At 41.5% G+C, this 25,725-nt stretch overlaps 1 protein-coding gene across 5 annotated transcripts in view, besides 1 other annotated feature; it reads right to left on the minus strand.

Moving 5' to 3' along the window:
- The window catches only part of ITIH5 (inter-alpha-trypsin inhibitor heavy chain 5), a 107,697-nt gene that overhangs the window by 60,093 nt on the left and 21,879 nt on the right, over window positions 1-25,725 (minus strand). For 4 of the 5 annotated variants that reach the window (NM_030569.7, XM_011519713.4, NM_001001851.3 and 1 more), the window contains exons 3-5: window positions 22,565-22,728; window positions 21,392-21,493; window positions 17,866-18,116 (exon numbers count right to left, since the gene is read on the minus strand). In NM_030569.7, the coding sequence (NP_085046.5) occupies window positions 17,866-18,116; window positions 21,392-21,493; window positions 22,565-22,728 (517 nt within the window). Of the gene's footprint in view, window positions 1-218; window positions 312-17,865; window positions 18,117-21,391; window positions 21,494-22,564; window positions 22,729-25,725 lie in introns of those variants that run through there. The other variant, NM_032817.6, reaches the window with a different exon arrangement.
- Window positions 16,205-17,044: an enhancer, noted in NCBI's record as "OCT4-NANOG-H3K27ac hESC enhancer chr10:7677530-7678369 (GRCh37/hg19 assembly coordinates)". NCBI's record gives its function as "activates a minimal SCP1, AML or CMV promoter by ChIP-STARR-seq in naive H9 embryonic stem cells {active_cell/tissue: H9 hESC(naive)}" and the evidence as "EXISTENCE:reporter gene assay evidence [ECO:0000049][PMID:30033119]".

Consider the following 25,725-nt stretch of genomic DNA (forward strand, 5'->3'; position numbering starts at 1 on the left):
CGGCCTTGGTTATCTCATCTGTAAAATGGATTAATGATAGTACCAATCTCACAGTATTGAAAAGATCAAGTGATGTCACGTACTTAGCACCATTTTCCAGTTCACAGTCAGCAGTCATGCTAGCTTATATCATTACTGTATCAGTCCATTTTCACACTGTTATCAAGAAGTACCTGAGACTGGGTAGTTTATACAGAAAAGAGGTTTAATTGACTCACAGTTCCGCATGGCTGGGGAAGCCTCGGGAAACTTACAATCACGCAGAAGGCAAACGCAAAGCGAACACGTCTACAAGGCGGCAGGAGCGAGAGACAGAACTGGGAAGCGCCGGACTTTTAAACCATGAGATCTCGTGAGAACTCACTCACTATCACGAGAACAGCAAGGGGGAAATTCACCTCCATGGTCCAATCACCTCCCACCAGGCCACTCCTCCGACACATGGGGATTACAATTCGAAATGCTATTTCCGTGGGGACACAGAGCCAAACCATATCAATTTCCAACCTTAACTATATAAAATAGAAGGAGGGGCCAGGCCCGGTGGCTCACGCCTGTAATCCCAGCACTTTGGGAGGCTGAGGCGGGTGGATCACCTGAGGTCAGGAGTTTGAGATCAGCCTGGCCAACATGGAGAAACCTCGTCTCTACTAAAAATACAAAAAATTAGGTGGGTGTGGTGGCTGTAATCCCAGCTACTCAGGAGGCTGAGGCAGGAGAATATCGCTTGAACCAGGGAGGCGGAGGTTGCAGTGAGCTGAGATAGTGCCATTGGACTCCAGCCTGGGCAACAAGAGCAAAATTCCATCCCACCACCCCCTACCCCCGCAAAAAAAAAAATAGAAGGAGCAATTACATATACAACTATAAACACAAGTCAAACTTGGGATACCACAAGGCAATAAAAACAAAAGAACTAATATTGCTATTTAGAACATGGTTGAACCTCACAGTCTTCTTGAGTGAAAATATCAGATACAAAAGCGCATGTTCTCTCTGCTTCCATCTGCATAAAGTTCAAGAGGAGCATGAAATACCCATGGCAACTGGAGTAGAACACTGCTGACCTTTGAAGGCCTGCTCAGGACCAGGAAAGAGCACGTGGTAATTTTGAGGAAGGGTGAAAATATTCCATGTCTTGAGGTGGAAGGCAGTTGAATGAGGGTATACCTATGTAAAATTTTATCAAGCTGTACACATGACATTTGTACCGTTTATGGTGTATGTACACCCCAGTTATTAACATTTAAATTTATTGTTAGCAAAGTAGATTAAACAGGCATTCCCCGGCATGGAACATAACAATGTTATTTGCCAAACAGACCCCTCTCTGTCCTTCTCCTTAGGATGAATGTGCATGGGCATTTATTAAATGAGGATTAGGTGTGTCCAGAGCAATTCCAGCCGGCAGAATTAGGACCAGGGAGAGAGTTTCCGGGAGGCACTTTTCAGCGCAGTGTCGGTGAACCCTAAGAAAGCTGTCCTGTTGGGATCGGCCGCCTTCACAACCCATCCCATTAGAAGGGCTCAAGTGAACCCTGGAATAATCCCCCCCACGAGGGTGTAGAGCAGTTCTCACAGTGTGATCTTGAACCAGCAGCATCAGCAGCTCCTGGGAACTTGCTAGAAATGCCAATTCTCAGGCCCACCCCAGAAACTCGGAGTCAGAAACTCTGGGGATGGGACTCCGCCATTTGTGTTTTAACGAGCCCTCTGGGTGATTCCGGTTTTTGCCCATAGAAAATAGGCATGTAGCTTACACATGGTCTGTGTGCCTTACACATAGAAAAGTGTCAATAAAATGTGTTGTATGCAATTAGGCAGCACTTAGATTATCTCTAAGATTCTACAATAATTAGATTAGACTCTCTTTATGCTGCCAGCATGTACCTACTTAGTCTTGCTTCCAATCTCGTGAAAATGCTTTTTACAAGCTCCCTGAATTAATACCATTCATGGCTGAGTAAAAGCACTGGGGATTAGAAAGTATAATTTCTCTGTCCATCATTCACTCGACTAGGCTCTTTGATATGGACCATGAGGAAGGATACTGTATGATTATTTTGGCTTCCTAGTGACCTCTGGTTTTACTAGCTCATGATGAAAATTCATGAGATTCAACTAAATGGGATTATTTTACACACCCAAAGAATGGGTTGATTCTCAGTTTGGTTACTCACCAAGGAGCCTGGTTCCTGAGGCCAACCACCACCCAGGAAGAAGCAGACAGTAAATGTGACCCAATAAATTTTTCACTACTTTTTTTTTAAGTTTACTGGGAGCAATTCCAGAGGAGCATCTCTAGAAAATAGAATCATCTTTTTATTAAGGGGGAAAAAAATCTGTTAAGTAGGTTCATATGGGCTGTTCCACCGTTACTGACCAAAATCCCAGAGCAGAAGAACATGACTCCGTTTTTCCTTGCTGTGAATGGGGGCTCACCCTGCTTACCGCCACAGATATTTCCTAAGCACAAAAATGAGTGTCACCCGCAGGGTCATCAGAGTCACAGGTTAATGAAGACCGCAAGGAAAGACATTGGTGCAGAACAAAAAAGAGGAAGAATCTGACCCACTTGTCTAATGAGAACCCATGTCTCTTTCCTCCTTCGTGTTCTCTCCTTCTTGCCCACTTCTATGGTGAGCTGGAGCAGCTGCTCCGATTTGAGGGAGGCCAAGTCTTCTAATCCCATCTTCCTGTCTTCATGCAGGCATTGGTGATCCCATGCAAGACAACCCCAGGGACACACAACTGCCTCTCCTGCCCTCGGGAAAATTCATTCATGCTCTTCCTCCACTCACTGACTCTTCCCTGCCTCTCAGGCCACCAGGACTCCCAGGGGGCTCTCTTCTTTTCTAAAGCCCAGTATTTTAGAGCAAGAAGTTTTGTGTTATCTTTGCAAACTACAGAATACCAAAGAGAGTGGGTTCTAGAGTGTGACTGAATCAAAACGACTGACTTAATATTCCTGAGCTTCAGTCCCACATCTGTTACATGGAAACAATTCCACAGTCACAGAATCATTGTTGAGATGTAGTGAGATCTCATATGTAAGGTACCCCGTGTGGTGCCTGGCAGACAGTAGGTGCTCAATACATACTAGCTCCATCCTCTTCCCCTTCAGAAGTAGTTTTTTGTACTTTGTCCATTATGAAAGGCAACTTATAAAGAAAAAAATGCTCTTGGATAACATACAGTTCACATTTTGTCATAACAGTTTTCTCTATACCACTGAAAGCTTGAAAAAAACAATATTTTAAAAGGACAGACACATAATAAACATTCATAACAGGAAATTCAATATATATACACATTATACATATGTCAATATGCTTATATAAAGAATAATCTTTAAAAAAAGAATAATCTTTACAAAATATAATGAAGTCAGTAGCTGTCTGAAAGTCCCTTAAAATTATACACAGAATTTTGCACGTAAGCGTAAATGTACATTTTTTTCTGAAGAAAGGATGCATTGATTTTGCCACATTCTCCAAGGACTCTAAAGAAAGTTAAGAACCATGTTTATAAGTGCCATTAAATATTCCTATGTCTGATCCTATTAGGTAATGACAAAGTACTTTATAGCTTGTGCATCAGAGTTGAAGAGAACAAAACATATGTCCTTAGTGATGTCCTGATACATGGAGGTTGGTCGCAAACATACAATCTTTTCCTAGACAATTATCACATGGGGAAAGATGGCAGCCAACTGCTATGTAAAATGCCAAAGGTGAAAAGATTGAGAAGAGCCCCATGCTCACAGCCACGGGCTGGAAGCGCCACCCTCTGGGTTGATAGGGAGAGGGATTTCCTGGCCTCTGTTTCCTGAGGGTCTGGGTTTTGGCTGCTGTCGGAGAAAAGCAGCCAACACCTGGTGCATTGACAAAAGGATTTCCCAACACACGCTGCCTGCTCATTTCCTCTTTAGAAAGAAGCTTAAATTGTCTATGTTTGTTTATGAACCCTGCTTACCTGGGATCCAACGAGGCAATTTCTTAAATATATGGAGGTCAAAAATACTGTGAATAATTGGAGCACTACCCTCTGAGGGTGGCAATAAAGATAAAACTCAAGCAAATCAGCAGAGGATTGAAAGAAAAACTGGTAACACAGAGGCAATGACGATGAGAAGGAATTTGGTTAAATACCTTCATAAGGCCGGGCGTGGTGGCTCACGCCTGTAATCCCAGCACTTTGGGAGGCCAAGGCAGGCGGATCACAAGGTCAGGAGATCGAGACCATCCTGGATAACACGGTGAAACCCCGTCTCTACTAAAAATACAAAAAAATAGCCAGGCGTGGTGGCAGGCGCCTGTAGTCCCAGCTACTCAGGAGGGTGAGGCAGGAGAATGGCGTGAACCCAGGAGGTGGAGCTCACAGTGAGCCGAGATTGCACCACTGCACTCCAGCCTGGGCGACAGAGTAAGACTCCATCTCAAAAAAAAAAAAAAAAAAAAAATACCTTCATAAGTCTCTTACTATCCACAGTTTTCCTTTGGGAAAGGATTTTTCTTCCCCCTACGTGAATGTTTGGTATTTTAAATCCTTTTGGAAAACAGCATCATATAGATATGATAGCAACACATAGCACAGAATACTAATTCAAATTTATAGCTGAAGGGATTCAAACTCAACTGTAGTATTTTATAGTTAAGTAGATGTTTGCCCAGGTTTCTTAGCAAATCAGCTTTCTTCACTGCTTATTCAATGCTCTTCCTTCCTAAAATAATAGATTCCCAACTCTCAGTTTTCCATATTTGAAAAAATTTCCCAAGAGAGACTATGTGTGAAAACAAGTACAACTACCTCACCCAGCAAGCACACTTTCTAAAAGTTAACCCTTAAAAATATGCATTCCCAGGCCAGGCACAGTGGCTCATGCCTGTAATCCCAGCACTTTGGGAGGCCGAGGTAGGCAGATCACCTGAGGTGGGGAGGTCGAGACCAGCCTGACCAACATGGAGAAACCCCGTCTCTACTAAAAATACAAACTTAGCGGGACATGGTGGCGCATGCCTGTAATCCTAGATACTCGGGAGGCTGAGGCAGGAGAATCACTTGGACCCGGGAGGCAGAGGTTGCAGTGAGCCAAGATCGTACCATTGCACTCCAGCCTGGGCAACAAGAGCGAAACTCCATCTCAAAACAAACAAACAAACATGCATTATCAGGCCAGGCACGGTGGCTCATGCCTATAATCCCAGCACTTTGGGAGGCCAAGGGGGGCAGATCACCTGGGGCCAGGAGTTCCAGACCAGCCTAGCTAACATGGTGAAACCCTGTCTCTACTAAAAATACAAAAATGAGCTACTAAGGAGGCTGAGGCAGAAGAATTGCTTGAACCTGGGAGGCAGAGGTTGCAGTGAGCCAAGATTGTGTCACTGCACTCCAACCTGGGCGATAGAGTGAGACTCTGCCTAAAAAAAAAAAAAAATATATATATATATACACATATATATGTGTATATACATGTATATACACATATATATGTGTATATATGTATATATGTATGTATATATATGTGTATATATATACATACATATATATATATATATATGCATTATCCCTTTCTGCCATCACGTGTCCATTGGAGACCTCAAATACTAGCTGCCCCAAGCATTTGAATTCAACCAAATGGAAGCCCACCAGAAACAATGGTAGAGCAGCCAAGGAATATGAGATTGAGAGACTTCTGTCAAATGCCTTTGCAGGGTTCTCTGGCACGCAGGCAGAGCAGGGGCTAATAACCGAGAAAAGCAGAGTGGCACTTGGTGCAGACACACAGTGCAATATAATTCAGCCTTCAAAAGAAGAGAAATGTTGACATGTGGTACAACATGGATAAACTTTGAGGACATTATGTCAGGTGAAATAAGCCAGACACAAAAGAACAGATACTGTATAAGTCTACTTACATGAGGTATGCAAAGTTGTCCAGTTCATAGATGAGACAGAAAGGAGAACAGTGGTTATCTGGGACCAGGGGGAAGGAGAGATGAGGAGTCAGTGTTTAATGGGTACAAAGTTTCAGTTTGGGAGATGGAAAAGTTCAGGAGATTGGTAATACACCAATGTGAATAGACTTAACACTGCCAAACACTTAGAAGTGACTCAGATGGGCCGGGCATGTGGATCACACCTGTAATCCCAGCACTTTGGGAGGCCAAGGCAGGTAGATCACTTGATGTCAGGAGTTCGAGATCGGCCTGGCCAACATGGTGAAAACCTGTCTCTATTAAAAACACAAAAATTAGCCGGGCCTGGTGGCGTGAGCTTGTAACCCCAGCTACTGGGGAGGCTGAGGCAGGAGAATTGCTTGAACCCAGGAGGCAGAGATTGCCATGAGCCAAGACTGCACCACTGCACTCTTGCCTGGGTAACAGAGTGATATTCTGTCTCAAAAAAAAAAAAGAAAGAAAGAAAGAAAGAAAAAGAAAAAGAAATGGCTAAGATGGTAAATTTTACATTGTGTGCTTTTTATCACAATTTTTACAAGGTTTTTAATTGCCAGCTCTAAGTTCTGCAAAGGCAGTGACAACATCTTAGACGTCTGTAGATTCCAGGAACCTTGCACAGCGCCAGAAACATGTGAGAGTTCACGTCCAGCTTGCGGAACACTGAGGATGAAAATGATGAAATGCATTAGTGCATAGCTGGGCAGATGGACAGAGCAGCCCTTCAAGGGAACTGATGTTTCTCTTCCCGAAAGTGTTCAGGGGGTGTGGCAGATGCTCTTGGTGATCTGCATCACATCCCCCGGCCCACCTCTGGTTCAGCCACAGCTGCGATGGCCCAGGTCATACATGCTGACAACATCCACCTCCCACAGCAAGCCAAGGCAGCAGGAAAAAGGAAGAAAAAGAGTGAAGCCTCACAGTAAAGAGGAGGTGTCTCACCGGTATTGGGCTACAGAGAAAAGCCAAAGCCTCTGTGCCACACTCTTGGGTTGACCGTGCCACGCTCTTGGGTTGACCGAGCCACAGCCAACGTCAAAACAAACAAGATAACATGGATTTTCATATTGGATTAAAAATCAAAACACAACCAACTATGGGGCCAAATGATTCATACCTGAATAATTTCTGTGTGAACAATGCTGGAAACCTTCACATAACAACCAGATTGTTTCCTGGCAAAGGTACAGAGATTTCGCAGAGGCCAAACAGGGTCCTGCCCTTCCAGCCGCAGAGCAGAGACCGGACCCAGACCGGGACCCTGGAGCTGGGGGTTTCACAGCCAGTCACAGTGCAGCCCTTTAATAGGCAGAGTTGCCCGATTTAGCAAATTACAATACAGAATGCCTGGTTACGTTTGAATTTCGGATAAACAATGAATAATTTCCTAGTGCAAGCATGTCCTAAATATTGCACAGGACATATCGTTTCTCTGAATTCAAATGAAACTGGGCATCTTATATCTCATCTGGCAACCCTAGCTAAGGGGGATTTATCCAGATTTTCTGTAACCAGAATTTTCTGGAACCAAAGTTAGTTATTACTTTTGTCTCTTAATCCCTGCTTCATAACAACATAAGTGCTAGACCCAAGATCTGGCAAAATTTACCAACGTAAGCCAAGAAAGTGCTGAAAACCTGATAGCACTGTCATAACCAACAATTATTTCCCCTCAGTTCCTTCAACAAACACCTGCTGAGCACCCATTCTATGCCAGGTGCCACACCAAGTGTCTACGAAGACAACCGAAGTCTTCACAGCAAAGGCAGATCATGATGCTCACAGAGCAAAGAAAAACATCAGAATAATTTCAAAAACGGGGTGGTGGGCAAGGGGAGGGAAAGCATTAGGACAAAAGCTAATACATGCGGGGCTTAAAACCTAGATGACGGGTTGATGGGTGCAGCAAACCACCATGGCACATGTATACCTATGTAACAAACCTGCACGTTCTGCACATGGATCCCAGAACTTAAAGTAAAAGAAAAAAAAGAAAATAAGAAGATAAAGTAAAAAAAAAAAAAAAAAAAATTAAACAGGTTCAATTCAAGCCCTTCTTGGGCATCAACTGAAATGCAGGACACTGTGCTAGTCTCTGGTCGAGGGGACTTGACCTTGCGGGATGTGTGGCTGGTCAGTAGCCTGTCCTCAAAGACAGCTGCAGTGTCAGCCACCAGGTCTTCCAAATAAAAGGTCATAAAGCTGTATTTTCAGTGGTTCTCTTCTTTCCAATGACGCTTCCTCAGTTCTTAGGATTATTTGAAGATTGGCATTTTATTGGACACTTACACAGGAGTGATATGATTAAAAAGCAAGCCATAAATTGGTTAGTACCCAGTCCTTTTATTTGCCTTCCCACACATGTGAAGCACCCACAGAGAACAGCCAGAGAACACAGCAAACTGGCTTCCAGGGCATGTGGAGGAAGGGAGATTCTAACCACCTAGAATGTAATTTTTTCATTTTTAACAAAAGTCAAGGTGAATCTCACAGAACATGAAATTAACCTTTTTTTTTTTTTTTTTTTTTTTTTTTTTGAGACAGAGTCTTGCTGCTCTGTCTCCCAGGCTGGAGTGCAGTGGTGCAATCTCAGCTCAATGCAACCTCCGCCTCCCACATTCAAGCGATTCTCCTGCCTCAGCCTCCCAAGTAGCTGGGATTACAGGCGCCTGCCACCAAGCCCAGCTCGTTTTTGTATTTTAGTAGAGATGGGGTTTCGCCATGTTGGCCAGGCCAGTCTCAAACTCCTGGCCTCAAGTTATCCACCCACCTTGGCCTTCTAAAGTGCTGGGATTACAGACCTGAGCCACCATGCCCAGCCAAAATTAACCATTTTTAGGTATACAAACAAATAGCATTTAGTACATCCACAATGTTGTGCAAACACTACCTCTATTAAGTTCCAAAACATCTTCATCACCCCAAGGAAACTCTGTAACCATCCAGCAGCCACTTTCCATTTCTCCCTCCTCCCAGCCCCAGGCAACTACCAATCTGCTTTCTGTCTCTACGGATTTGTGTGTTCTGGACATTTCAGCTAAATGGAATCATACACATGTGACCTTTTCAGTCTGGCTTCTTTCACTTAGCATAATGTTTTCGAGACTCCGTCACACTGTAGCATGTGTCCGTGTTGTGGCCTGTATCCGTGCTGCGGCATGTGTCTGTGTTATAGTGTGTATCCATGTTGTAGCATGTATGTGCATTGTGGCATGTGTCCATGTGATACCATGTATTCGTGTTGTGACATGTGTCCATGCTGTAGCATGTATCTGTGTTATCACATGCATCCATGTTATGGGATGTGTCCATGTTGTACCATGTGTCCATGTTGTCTGGGTTGTCACATGTGTCCATGTTGTAGCGTGTGTCCATGTTGCAGCGTGTGTCCATGTTGTAGCGTGTGTCCATGTTGCAGCGTGTGTCCATGTTGCAGCGTGTGTCCATGTTGTAGCGTGTGTCCATGTTATCATATGTATCTGTGTTTTTGCATGTGTCCATGTTGTAGCGTGTGTCCCTGTTGTAGCGTGTGTCCCTGTTGTAGCGTGTGTCCGTGTTGTAGCGTGTGTCCGTGTTGTGGCATGCATCCATGTTATCATATGTATCTGTGTTTTCACATGTGTCCATGTTGTAGCGTGTGTCCGTGTTGTAGCATGTGTCCGTGTTGTGGCATGCATCCATGTTATCATATGTATCTGTGTTTTCACATGTGTCCCTGTTGTAGCGTGTGTCCATGTTGTAGCGTGTGCCCATGTTGTAGCGTGTATCCATGTTGTAGTGTGTGTCCATGTTGTAGAGTGTGTCCGTGTTGTAGCATGTGTCCGTGTTGTGGCATGCATCCATGTTATCATATGTATCTGTGTTTTCACATGTGTCCCTGTTGTAGCGTGTGTCCCTGTTGTAGCGTGTGCCCATGTTGTAGCGTGTGTCCATGTTGTAGCGTGTGTCCATGTTGTAGCGTGTGTCCCTGTTGTAGCGTGTGTCCATGTTGTAGCGTGTGCCCATGTTGTAGCGTGTGCCCATGTTGTAGCGTGTGTCCCTGTTGTAGCGTGTGTCCATGTTGTAGCGTGTGTCCATGTTGTAGAGTGTGTCCATGTTGTAGCGTGTGTCCGTGTTGTGGCATGCATCCATGTTATCATATGTATCTGTGTTTTCGCATGTGTCCATGTTGTAGCGTGTGTCCATGTTGCAGCGTGTGTCCGTGTTGCAGCGTGTGTCCGTGTTGTGGCATGCATCCATGTTATCATATGTATCTGTGTTTTCGCATGTGTCCATGTTGTAGCGTGTATCCATGTTGCAGCGTGTGTCTGTGTTGTGGCATGTATCTGTGTTTCATTCCTTTTCATGCCTGGATAATATTCCATTGTACGCATATACCACATTTTGTTTTTCCATTCACCTGTTCAGGAGCATTTTTGTTGTTTCCACTTTGGGGCTACTGTGAATACTGCTACTGTAGACATTTCTGAACAAGTATTTAAGTACCTGCTTTCAGTTATTTTGAATATATACCCAGAGGATGTGCTCCATCTTTACATCAATGACTCTCAATCCTGACTATACTCTCTAGTAACCTAGAAGGGTTTAGAAAGAATTCCAGACAACCCACTCTAGACAAGTCCTACCCTAGACAAGTGAATTTGAATGTATTGGGGGGGCTACGGAGCTGTACTTTTGGGTGTGATATTCTATACATGTATATTAAAAACTTAAACGTCTATAAGTAATTTAAAAATTTTAGTTATTTGTAAAGTTAAGAATAATGCTGACTATTTTTTCTGCCACTCAACAGGTGTAGTCGTATGACTTTCATGGTTTACTCTTTCTAGTCCTTGCTTTTTAAAAAAAGTTTTATGGAAGTTTAATTTACACACCATAAGATTTACTCATTTTAAGTGTACAATTTACTATATACCTAGCATAGGTGCTCTGTAAGTGTTTGTTGAAGGAACTGAGGGAGAAATAACTGTTGGTTATGACAGTGATATTAGGTTTTCAGCATTTTCTTGACTTACATTGGTAAATTTTGCCAGATCTTGGGTCTTGCTAGATCTCTTAACTTGCTCGTTTTAACTTTTTAAGGAATCTTCAAATATTTTCCTGCTTCATTTTACATTCCTACCAGCAATGTACGAGGGTCCTAATTTTTCCACATCTTCCCCAAGGCTTGTAACTTTCCTTTGTTTGTTCCATTATAGCCATCCTAGGGTGTGAGAAGTGGTTTTGGTTTGCATTTTCCTAATGACTAATTGTGTTGAGCACCTTTTCTGATGCTTTTTGGCCATTCATATGTCTTCTTTGGAAGGACGTCTGTTCAAGTCCTTTGCTCGTATTTTAATTGGGTTGTTTATCCTTTTGTGGTTGAGTTGTAAGGATTCTTTGTATATTCTGGACACTAGACTCCTATCAAATATATGATTTGCAAATATTTTCTCCTATTCTGTAGGTTGTCTTTTTAGAATGTATTTTTTTAAGAGCATAACCTGATACTCTATCTCTTTCTTTCGTGTTCTTAACGGCCAAACACTTCTCGGTGATGAACCAGATGGCAGGAGAACATGAAAACAGTTACAAAGGTCTCCCCATTCCTAGAGTTAAGATTTCCTTTTAATGTTAGGTTAGCGCAAGGTCTTGTAAGTCCTTCAGTTTTGATAGAGATGAGGAATTGAGGTTACCCAGGAACCCCAGGTGGCAGCTTGGAAATGGGGTCAAGCAGCCCAGGAAAAAAAAAAAAGAGTTTAGAAAACAAAGTGGCGGGAACTACAGCGGAATATTGCTAGAAAACAGGACATCACAGTCTAGACCCCAAACTTTATTGTCCGTTGCAATCACAAGGGGATCTTCTTAATAAAAAATACTGACACTTAGTTTCCATCGGCAGCTATTTGATTTCATTGGCATGGGTGAGGCTTAAGCAATAGATTTATAAAAGCTCCCGTGGATTCTAACGGGCGGCAAAGTTTGGGAACCACTGAGGTTGGCAATGGAGCCGTCAAACCACAGGGATGAAGGCTGACGCTAAGCCAGACTTGGAGCCTCTTCTCTCAACGTGGAGTTGGGGTTGGAGCAGGAGGACTGTGGGAAGGGCAAGTCCCACAAGTCCAAGAAGCCAGAGAGGGACTCAAGTACCTTTAAGAAGCTCTTTTTTGACACCAAATGTCCTGAACAATCATGCTTTTCTCCAAAAGAAGATGAGATACCTAATTTAACGAGCTTAAGACTGTATTACGAAGACTGCACCGGCCCACTGAGCTTGGCTATTGGGATTTCTCCATCTCTGGTCTCCATGTGGAAGAGCAGAAGCAGGAGATGGGAAGAGGTTGTTTCCACCAACCACATAATTCTACACTGGCCTGTATCTGAGAGTGAAAACTTGTCGGTGGAAAAGAGGAACAAAATACATTTTAACAAGGATCTAAAGTCAGAGTAATCTGAAGGGCCCCATGAAATTGAGAAACAACTTTGTTTAATTTTTTTTTTTTTTTTAAACCAAATCTGACTCTGTCACCCAGGCTGGAGTGCAATGGCAAAATCTCAGCTCGCTGCAGCCTCCGCCTCCCGGGTTCAAGCAATTCTCCTGCCTCAGCCTCCCAAGTACCTGGGATTACAGGCATGGGCCACCACGCCTAGCTAATTTTTGTATTTTTTTTTTTTTTTTTAGTAGAAATGGGGTTTCACCATGTTGGCCAGGCTGGTCTTGAACTCCTGACCTCAAGTGATCCACCGACCTTGCCCTTCCAAAATACTGGGATTACAGGCATGAACCACTGCACCTGGCCCAATCTTGTTTAATTTAAAATCTGCTTCTGTAGGTCAAGATTTTGATATAGTTAATATTCCTAAGGTCTGCTGGAAAATCCAAGGGAATAGATCTCAACCTTTACTGAGCATCTGAATTAGCTGCAGTGCTTTTAAAAATATAGCTGTTTGAAGTCTACAGGGATGAAGAGTGGATCAGCGGTTGCCTGGGGCTGGGGTAGCAACAGGATGTGACTGCAAATGGGTACAGGGATCCTTCTGAGGTGGTAGCAGCGTTCTAAAATTGGACCCTGATGATGGTTGTACAACTCTGCCAATGTACTAAAAATCATTAAATTATACACTTCAAATAAGTAAATGCTACAGTGTGTAAATTAAACTTCCCTAAAACTTTTTTAAAAAGCAAGGAATAGAAGGGATAAACTATGAAAATCATACAACCACACCTGTCAAGTGGCAGAAAAAAATAATCAGCATTATTCTTAACTTTACAAATAACTAAAAATTTTTTAATCACTCATAGATTTTTAAGTTTTTAATATACATGTATAGAATATCACACCCAAAAGTACAGCTCCGTAGCCCCACCCTAATACATTCAAATTCACTTGTCTAGGCTAGGGTAGGACTTGTCTAGAGTACGTTGTCTGGAATTCTTTCTAAACCCTTCTAGGTTACTAGAGAGTATAGTCAGGATTGAGAGTCATTGATGTAAAATCACAAGGATAATAAAGTAAGTAAGGTATTCTTTTTCTCACTTGATGTTTCTCATTTTATTTTACCCCTAGTCATTGGGGATCTTGTCATAAATGAAAATTTTCTGCCAAAAAAAGTATTGGAATCATGGCAGGGGTAGTAATTTAGGCCATAAGTGAGACAGTTGGAAGTTTATGAGTTTAGCAAAGACAGTAGAGTAACCAGCCTTAAAACAATCACACAGTGGGAATATCTGTCTCGGAATACCAATGAGAATATACCTTCAGAAATCACACATCCCAGGCATGTTTCAGGAAAGCGTTCATTTCAAATACTCTGTTCCACTGAGCTCTTAAAGCATGAGAATATTGTAGAGGATAAGAACTGCGGAAGTGGAGAACGGAGAGACAGTAGAGACAGGGAGTCTTGTATTTCACCGTATACCAATTTGTAATGCTTGAGATTTTCAACCACGTACCTGTGTTAACTATTTTAATAAACAGAAATTATAATGTTTCATCTTCCAAAATACGTCTCACAGGATTGCCTTTTACACTGGGAAAGATCCCATTAATTTACAATTCAACAGATGTGGGTTCAATCCTGATATATCATAAAGTAAACTGAGGCAAAGGTGGATTGTATTGCTCTTAGCCTTTCTTTTTATTTTTATATTTAGGAAGAGAGTTGGAATTTGAACTCCACCCACAGTAATGTACAGTCTATTTAATGAGGAGGTAGATAGTGCAGTGGTTAAGGGTATAACTTGGAATAAAATAGACCTATGTTTAAATTCTATTTCTATCCATAATTAAATATGAGACCTTGTCCATATTACTGAACCTCTGTTTTAGTAAGTAAGGTTTCTCAGCTTCTTCATAATTAAAATGGGGATTGAAAAAAAAAAGCTAAGAGGGTTGTTATAAAAATTGCATGAGATAATACACTCTGCAAGTGCTTAGTCTAGTATCTAGCACACAGTAGTAATCCTCATCTAGAATTGCATCTTTAAAGATGAAAATGGGTCCGTGGTGGCCGGGCGCGGTGGCTCACGCCTGTAATCCCAGCACTTTGGGAGGCCGAGGCGGGCGGATCACGAGGTCAGGAGATCGAGACCATCCTGGCTAACACAGTGAAACCTCGTCTCTACTAAAAACACAAAAAATTAGCCAGGCGTGGTGGTGGGCGCCTGTAATCCCAGCTGCTCGGGAGGCTGAGGCAGGAGAATGGCTTGAATCCGGAAGGCGGAGCTTGCAGTGAGCCGAGATCGCGCCACTGCACTCCAGCCTGGGCGACAGAGCAAGACTCCGTCTCAAAAAAAAAAAAAAAAAAAAAGGAAAGAAAAGAGAAAGAAAACGGGTCCATGGTGAGAGATTTACTTAGACAAATTCCAGAAGTTAGATTTCTTAACACAGCCAGATCTATCAGCGGAATGTATTGGCTTGGACCTCATTCACACAATCATAGTTTTGGTGCAAGCCCAATTCCAGTTTGATCTTTAGCCTGGATTTCTTCTGGAAAAACACAGCCCTGTCCAGACAAAATCACAACATCCTGTGCTTCAAGCTGCTAAGGCTGCCATTTTGCAGGAACAATAACCGCTGAGCTCTGAAAGACGGGAGTGGGGAGCAGCAAAAAGGGAATCCGTCCACTGCACCTGGCTCTGGGACATGCTTGTAAAAGCTTCATGTTCTGGACGGCAAAGTATCTGCTTTGGTACAAGGAGCTAAGAAAACAATTTCCTTAAAAACAAACAGATCCCAAGAGATCAACCGTTTGGAAAAATTCCTCTGAGACACTAACAGGCCCCGAATATAAACAGTAAGCAACTTTTTTTAGCTAACAGTCATAATTCATACTCCCTCCAAACAAAACACATACACACCCCACAACACGTACACATCTCTGAAGAGTCATTATGATTCTGAAAATTAGGCAAAACACATTTCATTACTGCAACAGGACTCCCCTCTGAACCTTCTGCTGACACAGCTACTGAATGTGTTCTCATCCCAGACACACTTCACAGATACTCTACCCTCCTTACGAGATCCTGACAACTCTGCCCCCTGAGAAAATACTTCTTTCCCACAGTTGCACATGAGAAAATTTTCTTCCGAGGTACTGTTAGAGAGAAATGAAATTTTAAAACATTCTTAGTTATTTGTGTTTGCTTTTCTTTTTATTTATTTATCTATTTTTTTCATAGAGACAAGTTCTTACTATGTTGTCCAGGCTGGTCTCAAACTCCTGATCTTCCCACCTTGGCCTCCCAAAGTGCTGGGATTACAGGTGTGAGCCACCATCCCTGGCCTGCTTTTCTTCTGTAGTTCGAAGACACTCAATTAGCTACCTACTGTTTAACAGGCATTATGTTAAGTGCTAAGGAGACACAGGTTAATCAGAAACAGACCTGCTTTCGAAGGCACCAATGATCTTATTACAGAGGTAAGTTTTGCAACAGAAAAAAGTCAATATAATGTGAAAACTAGTAATAATTTTTAAGCTCTCATTCTGCGGCCAACCCTTTACATACATGAGCACTTCACAATGACCCATGAGCTAGTTATTACCCCTGTTTCCCAGATGTGCAAGCCAAGTCTTACAGCCTTGCATTTTTTACAAGGTTACAATTAACAACTGAACTAAAATCCATTAACCATACAGCTACCACCTGCATGACCTAAGAATGGTGTATTGGATCTCATGCCATTTCTAAATGCCAGGTACCTTGACAATATTTTTGCTTTTTCTAGATACCAGCTAGATCTGGATTAAGAATGTCAAGCTCATTGTTTGGAGTCAACACATAACAAAGGACTTGAGTCCAACACATAACAAAGGACCTGGGTCTCTCGCAGAGCCAGGAAACGCTCAGTCTGTGAGAGTGAATGGCCTCTCACATAGTCATTAACTCAACTGCATGCTGGGGGAGAAAGTGTATTTTCCGCACTGTTTGCCCCTCCATAGACCACCAGCTCTAGGCCTTGGTTATTTTTGCATTATGTTAAATACCAACATTCTCTGATTCCGCTTGTCCAGGCAACGCTCTCTCTCTTCTCCTGCCGATCTTATCCCTAAATACCCTGGTCCAAGAAGACTTCCTGGGTCATTCTATGATTGTGCAGCCGCAGGCACTGAATACAGATTCTGCACATACTCTGCTCATCATTTACCATTTCTCCACTCTCAATGTCACAATTCTCTGAAATCTTAAAATTCCAGTCCTGGTGCAATTTTTGAACATTCCTGTCTCATCCAATTCAACACTGACCAGCCTTACTGGTATATTAAGTATACAGCCCAACACAAGTCAATATTTAATATATACTATTAGCTGAAATTCATATAGTAACTAAAGTCACTCTTTTAGACTTTGTGAAAACCAGAAAGCCCCCTCCCAAAAAAAGAAAAAAAATACGGTGATTAAAACTAGATTATACTGTAGTTTTTCATTTCAATAAATGAAGAGCTATTTTAAAAATCAGAATTTGAGAAAATTTAAAAATCAGAATAATTCTGCTAATGAATCAAGATGCCTGTATCTTACATCTATACTAAGCATTTTTCATTATTTAAATTTAGAAAGAATATAACATATTGCTGAATGTTAAAAAACAGATTTTTAGAAAATGGCCCCACAATCTCATACCCCTGATACAAAATGATTATTTTCTATAACTTTCTAGTATTTTATCAGCTTCATATTTAACATTATAGTACATATACAATTTGCCTTTTCTTCTCTGCCACATGCTGAATTGTTTTATAATCGTAATTTACTAATCTCTTCCATATAATTGAATCTTTAGGCTGATGGAATGTCTTTGCTACCACAAATATTATCAAACGAGCTTGTGCATATGACATTCCCAATATGTTAGATGTTCTACCTAGGATAGATTTCCAGAAGTGGTATTATTGCATCAATAACTCATACATTTTTAATCTCCTGTTACAGCATGGGCTGTATTTTATTTTTAATAAAAAAAAAATGGGCCGGGTGCGCTGGCTCACACCTGTAATCCCAGCACTTTGGGAGGCCGAGGCGGGTGGATCACGAGGTCAGGAGTTTGAGACCAGCCTGACCAACATGGTGAAACCCCGTCTCGACTAAAAATACAAAATTAGCCGGGTGTGGTGGCACATGCCTGTAATCCCAGCTACTCAGGAGGCTGAGGCAGCAGAATCGCTTGAACACGGGAGGCGGAGGTTGCAGTGAGCGGAGATCTCGCCACTGCACTCTAGCCTGGCGACAGAGGACTTCGTCTCAAAAAAAAAGAAAAAAAGTACCAGTTGCTGTCTTAGCTTCATTGCTATCATTCCAGTTCCTACAAAAATGCAAAGGCTTTGCTGAAGGGAAGGGTGCCATCTCTTGCAGATTTCTCCGAAGCCAAGGACCAGCTGGGTGTTTTCACCACAGATCTGCACGAACCCAGCACGCAGGACTCACCTTCCCCGCGCCCACTGCCCCTCTGCCTGCTGTTGTGAAGCGGCAGCACCTCCAGGGATGCGATGCCCGCGCTCTCCAGGATATTCACGTCCACGCTCAGCCTCCCGGACAGCTGCTGGGGCCGCACGCTGATGCTGTGCTCGTACTTGCCCAGGCGCCTCTGCAGAAGCTCCTCATAACTCAGGAAAAAGGCGGCTTTGTCCTTGCTGGGAATCACTGCAGAAGCTCTGAATATTTCAGTCCCCTTCTCTCTGTCAGGAAAAAGGAAAAGGACCCCAGGGAGGTTCGGAAGAGGATAGAGCCAGGTTCCCTCAGTCCCCACAGGGCACCAGCCATACCCTCTCAACCAGCCTGCCAGGGAGACCCATGGGTGTGAGTGTGGGTCCTGAGAAAGGAAAAATAAAAATTCGTATTAGAAGAAGTGAAACCCCGTGCTAGAGGTAGGTCACGAAGGGTCAAAGAATACCGACCAGGAGAGGATTCTAAGAATACTGTCCTACCTCTCCCTGAGACAGACCCAAGGGAGCAATGGGAAAGGACGTTGAGTAGGTGAACTGCTAGAAGAGAGAGCTTTGGAGTGAAGCTGTGAATTGTGCTCTCCCTTTACAAGGATGGCCAATGAATCTTGGCATTTTACATAACTTTAAAATAGCTAACATACTAGGTTTTCACATCTTGGTAAAGTTTGGTGGATATGTTTAGCAGGAAAGGTAGGGAATAAAGGACTCCAAAGCTGACAAAAATACACTCCAGATGCTTTCAGTACTTGGAGTGAGGGTTCTCTTATTCAAAATGGCAGACTGATCACTAGAGGAATAAGTGGGAGTGGCAACCGTTAGTAGGTAAGACATTTCAAGAAGTTTCCAGAAGGCTTGGGGTGTTCAGTAGAGCAAGAATTTTATAGCTCAGAACATGCAGCAAAGGGCTGCAGCAAAGGAGAGAACCCAACTGTGTGGCAGAATCAGAGAGAGTGCAGGCTCTGAATTCAGGACACCACAAGATGGAAGGGAAAAGGGAGACCCAGTATAGACAGGATAATTCCAAGTCCAATGTGAATGAATGACTAAGCTGATAGGCTTTCTATACTCCTCCTTCCCAGAACTGGAAAGAGACATAAGTATTGAAATGGAAAAATTCAAGCACTGAGCAGAATGAATGAAAAGAGACTGACACCGAAACCCGCCATTGTAAAACTTCAGAACATCACACAGAGAAAACGTAAAAGTGATGTTATCTGGTCCCATTAGATGTATCATCAATACTACTGGATGTTATAAGACATTGGAGCAATGCCTCAAAGTTCAAAAGGAAAAGTATTTTGACCTTAAAGTCATACACAGCCAAAATATTAATCAAGGTCTCAGAAAGTTTACTTCTCATGCACCCATTCTGAGAAAGTTACTTCAGAATATAACTTCTGCAAAATAAAGGTGAAAGCCAAGAAAGAGGAAAATGTGGAATACACGAAATAAAAAAGCCAACCCAGAAGAATACGAAAAGAGATACCAGGGTAAAAGTTTTGCATCAAGGCTGAAAAGCAATGAAAGTATTTCATGGATATAAAGACATCCATGTTTTAAAAGCTCTGAAATCAGAATGTCTCCCAATCAGTGATGTCTTTCAGCTGCTGTTGGCCAGATATCAGGAGTGATAAGGATGTCACTGCTTGCAGAAACTTGTTCATAGCTGTTCATTTTGTTATGTTAAATCATAACATATTTTAAATAATGGTTATGTGTCTCGCTAGATGTTATATCATTTTATATCATAAGAAAAAAGAAAAGCAGTTAGAAACTCCAGGAAAAACAGAAACATATGTCATGATTCAACTAAACTAATCTGTAGTGTGACTCTGAACAATTGTGATAAAGACCACTTGGGATAAATCTATAGTCTAACAGAGTTAGGTTTTAATAACTTGCCACAGCAAGGGAGACCACATACCAGAGGCACGATGAGGCAACTCATCAAACAAAGAAAGAGACAGGGTTTTTATAGAATTAGGGGAAGGATGGAGTATAGGTTAAATTTAAATAGAGCAGTGTTCAGACAGGCTCAAAGCAAAGGCTGTGTGTAAAACCATCATTTCCGCCTGGACTGACAAGCAGACTAAAGATTCTCTATGTCTTTAGAAACTACGACATTAAGATAAACGTGGAATTTTGTGCCTTTGAAAATCCCTTATCTGAAGCTCTGGACCTTGGTTGCTTTTCTGTATCAAAGTGAACCCATGGCTCATGTCCTCCAGACAAGAGTGAGGCATTCCCTTGTCACTAATAAAATTTCCAACAGCAAAGTTTCTGGCAGTCTATAATTTTAGAGAACTAAATTTCTCAAAATGATGTCTTTTTATTCATGAGGAAAACCGGGTTACCAGGTTCACACCATTTTATCTAGATACAAAGATCATTTTTCTGCCAAGGGGATGAAGGCCTACACATTGGGCTGGTGAAGAGGAAAAAATAATCTTAGTGTACTAGGTGGCTCTGCATGCAGTTCATGTTATTTCTATAGGCATTAAAAAGCAATTGCTATGTATTGGTTTCAATGTTTAGATTCCATTTATAAACAAAAGAAAGAATAAAAGTATTACAAGTCAGAATTAAGATGCTAATAACTCAAACAATGATTAGGTAACATCATGAAATGAGAAAGGAGAGAGACAGTGGAGGTTAGGAGAGGGAATATAATCATTTAAGATAGTAGGGATAGTCCAAGATAGTCTAAACACTGTTGGATTGATGGAAGAAGAAATAAAAGAATAATATAAAAATGTGAATGCAGAGTAAAAGTAGGAGTATTGTTAATTTGCTAAATACCCTTTCTTTATAGCAAAGAGTCAACAGATAATGTCTTATTTTTATCAAAAAAAATTTTTTGAAGTATGACTATCACAATATTTAGAGTTAGGGGGTAACTACAAAAAAAAAAAAAAAAAAAAAAACTACGTACAGGCCAGGCATAGTGGCTCACACCTGTAATCCTGTAATCCCAGTACTTTGAGAGGCTGAAGTGCGAGGACTGCTTGAGCCCCGAAGTTTGAGATTAGCCTGGGCAATGTAGCAAGACCCGATCTCTACAAAAAAAATAAAAATAAAAATTAGCTGGGTGTGGTGGTGCACACCTGTAATCCCAGCTACTTGGGAGGCTGAGGTGGAAGGATCACTTGAGCCCAGGAGGTTGAGGCTGCAGTGAGCTATGATTGCACCACTGCACTCCAGCCTGGGCAAAGAGTGAGACCTCATTCCAAAAAAAAAAAAAAAAGGAAAACTGCAAACTACATATAGAAATATTAGAAGAGGATATGTGTGGGAAGTGAGCATGAGAGATAAATATGGTAAAATTCTCCTTTTTATTACAAACACTTATCTACTATATTATTCACTAGATGTATTTATATTTTGATAAAAAAGAAAGAGAAAAGTATTTGGAGGAAAGGAAGACGACAAGAGGAGTAGGCAAAGGCATAGAAAATGTGGCACTTTGCTAAAATGGGTTTTTAATTCCTTAATTAACCAATACTTACCCATTTTCTTCTGTGGTTTTATTCCTTTTCTCTTTTACCCTATCACCACTCTTCTTTTCTCTCTCTGTAATTTCGCCCTGATACACCTTGTCTCCAATAAGCCTGAAATACAAGAGACAGTTGTGCTACCAGCTTGCAGTTCCAAGACAAATTCAGACATGGATCTTATAACCATGACAACCCCAGGAAATATTTTTATTTGCCTTTTGGATGTGTAGAAAGAATGCATTCCAGACTAGGGCACTACCTTTGAATCATTCATTTTATTCTAGGGCAATTTTCAACAGGTCCAAATAGCAAGACCCAACCCATGGTGCCTCTGTGATTCTCCAGGAGAAAAGTCACAAGATCTGCTCACACTACCATGAAGATTCACCAACTTACATCTGACCTGGGCCAAAAATTAAACCCAACACCTAGCCCGTTTTACATATCTTTACTTCTTGGCTCAGAGAAGGAGGAAAGATATCCAATCTAGTATATCAAAGGTTCTACACTGCCTTGTCTTTCAACCCTCAACTTCACCATGGAGGAGGAAGAGCCTCCTGAAAGCTCTTCCCAGATCTCCCTAACTGAAGAAGACCCTCTTGGTCTGACTTGCCATCTTTATCATATTTGCAACTGTCTGAAATTCATCTCATTTATTCTTTGTTCATTTATCTATTGACTGGTTCTCCCTACTGGAATTTGTGCAGCACTGTGAGGCTGTCTTTCTCAGAGAAGTGCACCAGTTTTCATGAAGAGTAACCTGGCCCATAAAGGTCATTCATTTGTTGAAGGGGAGGAAGGAAAGAAAGAAAGAGGAAAGAAAGAAAGGAAGAAAAAAATTGAATAAAAAAGAGAAAATAGAAGGAAGGGAGAGAGACGAGGAGGGAAGGAAAGAAAAGGAAGGAAGGAAGGGAGGGAGGGAGGGAGGGAGGCAGGGAAGGAGGGAGGGAGGGAGGGAGGGAGGGAGAGAGGGAGGGAAGGAGGGAGGGAAAAAGAGAAGAAGAAAAGGAATGAATGAATGAATGAACCAACCAATGAATTTGAACAAAAGAATTGACCTTCTGATCTATATACCATCTACTGGAATATAAATCCTCACAGTCACAAGGCTGTGGACCTCACATCTCAGGCTCAACCTGACCACCCTAGGCAGAAATCTTCATCCCTGACCAGCGTGTCACCTACATAGTGAAGTTGGTGATGAAAGCTGCAGCTGGAATCTGCATCTGGAACTCAATGTCCTGGTCTTCAGAAGCTCTGTTCAGCATTCTGCAGGAAACCGTAGTGAAGGCATAACGGGAAATGATGGTAGACTTCACTGAGAATTCTGTCATCAAAGGTTTGGTTTTCTGTAGGAATGAAAACACACAGTATCATCGGTGATGCATGAAAGCATTTTGGTGGTAGTGGAACATCTTTTTTTTTTTCCACAAGGGAAATAATCTTCAGTTTGGGAGCCTTTGGCATGTGATTCCAATTTCCTTTCTTCTTCTTTTCCTGATTTCCCCATTTTTAACTCCCTTCCTTTGTAAAACAACCTTGGTTGTTTTGCATAAACAATTAATAACACACAAGCAAATCTTTTAACCTGACTTTAACAAGTGAACACAGTGAAGACGTCCAATTTGGCAGAAAATACACGTTCCTTAAACAGTTCAATCATCGGAATTTTAGAAGTAAAGTATGTGCTGTATATAATACTCTTCTGTTATCACTTTTATATCACATTTACAGGACTACCGAAATGTTCCAAAAACCGGAACATGACTAACAAAAATCTCGTATTTTAAAATTACTTTCAATGTCCACTTAGAGAAACGATACACCAGAGCTTCCCTATCTGAATTACAGGCGCATTACTGTGAAATAGGAATCAATACTGAACTCAGCAGAGTATCTAGAGAATTTAGAACCCAGAAAAAGGAACACATAAGTCTGTGCTAATTAAATTTCTCCCAAAAGCCCCTGATGAGAGCAGTAACTAGAAGATGCAAATGTAAAAGCCTGTTAAAACTCTTCAGGGCTTTTTCTAGTCCTTACAACAGAGCTACATCTGGTGACAGCTGGTAGCAGAGGCCTGAAGAAGGAAGAAAACATTTGTAAGGAAAGCCACAAGCCACTGCTAACAGAGTGGTTATCTAACTCCAGGAACTGGTCAAGCAATTAACAAGCATGTTATGGGCTGTGTCCTCCTAGAATACACATGTTGAAGCCCTAACCTACTATGGGAGGTGGTGGGGTTGCGGGGAAGGCAGTATTTGGAGATGAGTGCCTTTGGGAGAAATTGATTTAGATGAGGTAATGAAGGTGGGGTCTCTATGATGGGATTAATGCCCTTAAGAGAGGAGACATAAGAGAGCTCTCTATCTCTCTCTCCATGTGTGTGCACCAAGAAAGACCATGTGGGCACACATTGAGAAGGCAGCTGTCTGCAAGCCAGGACAAGAGCCCTCATCAAAACCCAAACCCTGCAGAACCTGGGTCTTGGACTTCCAGCCTCTAGAACTGTGAGAAAATAAATGTATGCTGTTTAAGCCACATGGTCTATAGAATTTTGTTATGGAAGCCCGAGCAAGCTAAAACAAGACATTACCCCATGACAGTCTTTGAAGACATACGCAGTAGGTGTTTTATTCCCATTTCATAGATGGAGGGAAGTCAAGCTTAGTGAGGGCACATATTGGTCCATGCCAGCAAGTAATGGATGTGGAACTTGAACCCGATCCCACTTACTTCAAAGTCTGAACTGGCCACTATTATGTGAGACTGTCTGGCTGCCCTCTGCAGACACGTCCTGCTCATAATTGTGTGCTCAACCCCCATGCTGGTCCTGGGCACACAAAGGCTCTCAAAACATGTTGAATGCAACTGGCTTACTCTGATAAGATTCTACTCTCTCCTTCAGGAACTGTCACCTAGCTGGGCAATGTTTATTTCAGCCCTCATCTGCTTTATTAATTTATTTACAGCCCTAGGCCTGTTTTCAAAACAGATATAAGGTTGCGACCTATTGCTATCAAAGACATATTCCTGCTGTGACATACAAAGATCATCACAAACCTTGCTTCAAAAAAGTTACTACAGAGGGTTATTCTATTTAAACAAATACGCACTCAAAATGTTTGCGTGAAATCACGATCTGCATACAAACCACCAAAAGCTTGAGAGACATTTTCTATGATGTATTAGAGAGGTGGCTACAAATATCAAGTGCACCGGCTGGGCGCGGTGGCTCACACCTGTAGTCCCAGCACTTTGGGAGGCCAAGGTGGACAGATCACCTGAGTTCAGGAGTTCAAGACCAGTCTGGCCAACATGGTGAAACCCCGTCTTTACTAGAAATACAATTAACTGCGTGTGGTGGTGCATGACTGTAGTCCTGGCTACTCAGGTGGCTGAGGCAGGAGAATTGCTTGAAGCAGGGAGGCAAATATTGCAGTGAGCCAAGATTGTGCCACTGCACTTCAGCCTGGGTGACAGAGCAAGACCCTGTCACAGAAAAAAAATATATATATATATGTACATATATGTGCGTGTGTATATATATCATATATATCATACATATCACATATATATCATACATATCACATATATATCACATATATCACATATATATCATATATATCACATATATATCACATATATCACATATATCACATATATCACATATATCATATATATCACATATATCATATATATCACATATAGATCATATATATCACATATAGATCATATATAATCACATATATATCATAATCACATATATATGATATATATCACATATATATGATATATCACATATATATGATATATCACATATATATGATATATATCACATATATCACATATATATCATACATATCACATATATCACATATATATCACATATATCACATATATATCATATATATCACATATATATCATATATATCACATATATATCATATATATCACATATCTATATCACATATATATCATATATATCACATATCTATATCACATATATATCACATATATCACATATATATCATATATATCACATATATATCATATATATCATATATATCACATATATATCATATATATCACATATATATCACATATATATCACATATGTATCACATATATATCACATATATATATCACATATATATATCACATATATATATCACATATATATATCACATATATATATCACATATATATATATCACACATATATATATATATATCAAGCACACCTGAGGATGGACTTGAACACCAAGACAGGGAGCTGCAATGGTTGGAGCCAAGCACATGAGGAAGGGGAGAGAATGGGCAAGCACTCCATGCAAAGGTGTCAGGGCC

Source organism: Homo sapiens, chromosome 10, assembly GCF_000001405.40.
Source record: "Homo sapiens chromosome 10, GRCh38.p14 Primary Assembly".
In the NCBI taxonomy this organism is placed as follows: domain Eukaryota; kingdom Metazoa; phylum Chordata; class Mammalia; order Primates; family Hominidae; genus Homo; species Homo sapiens.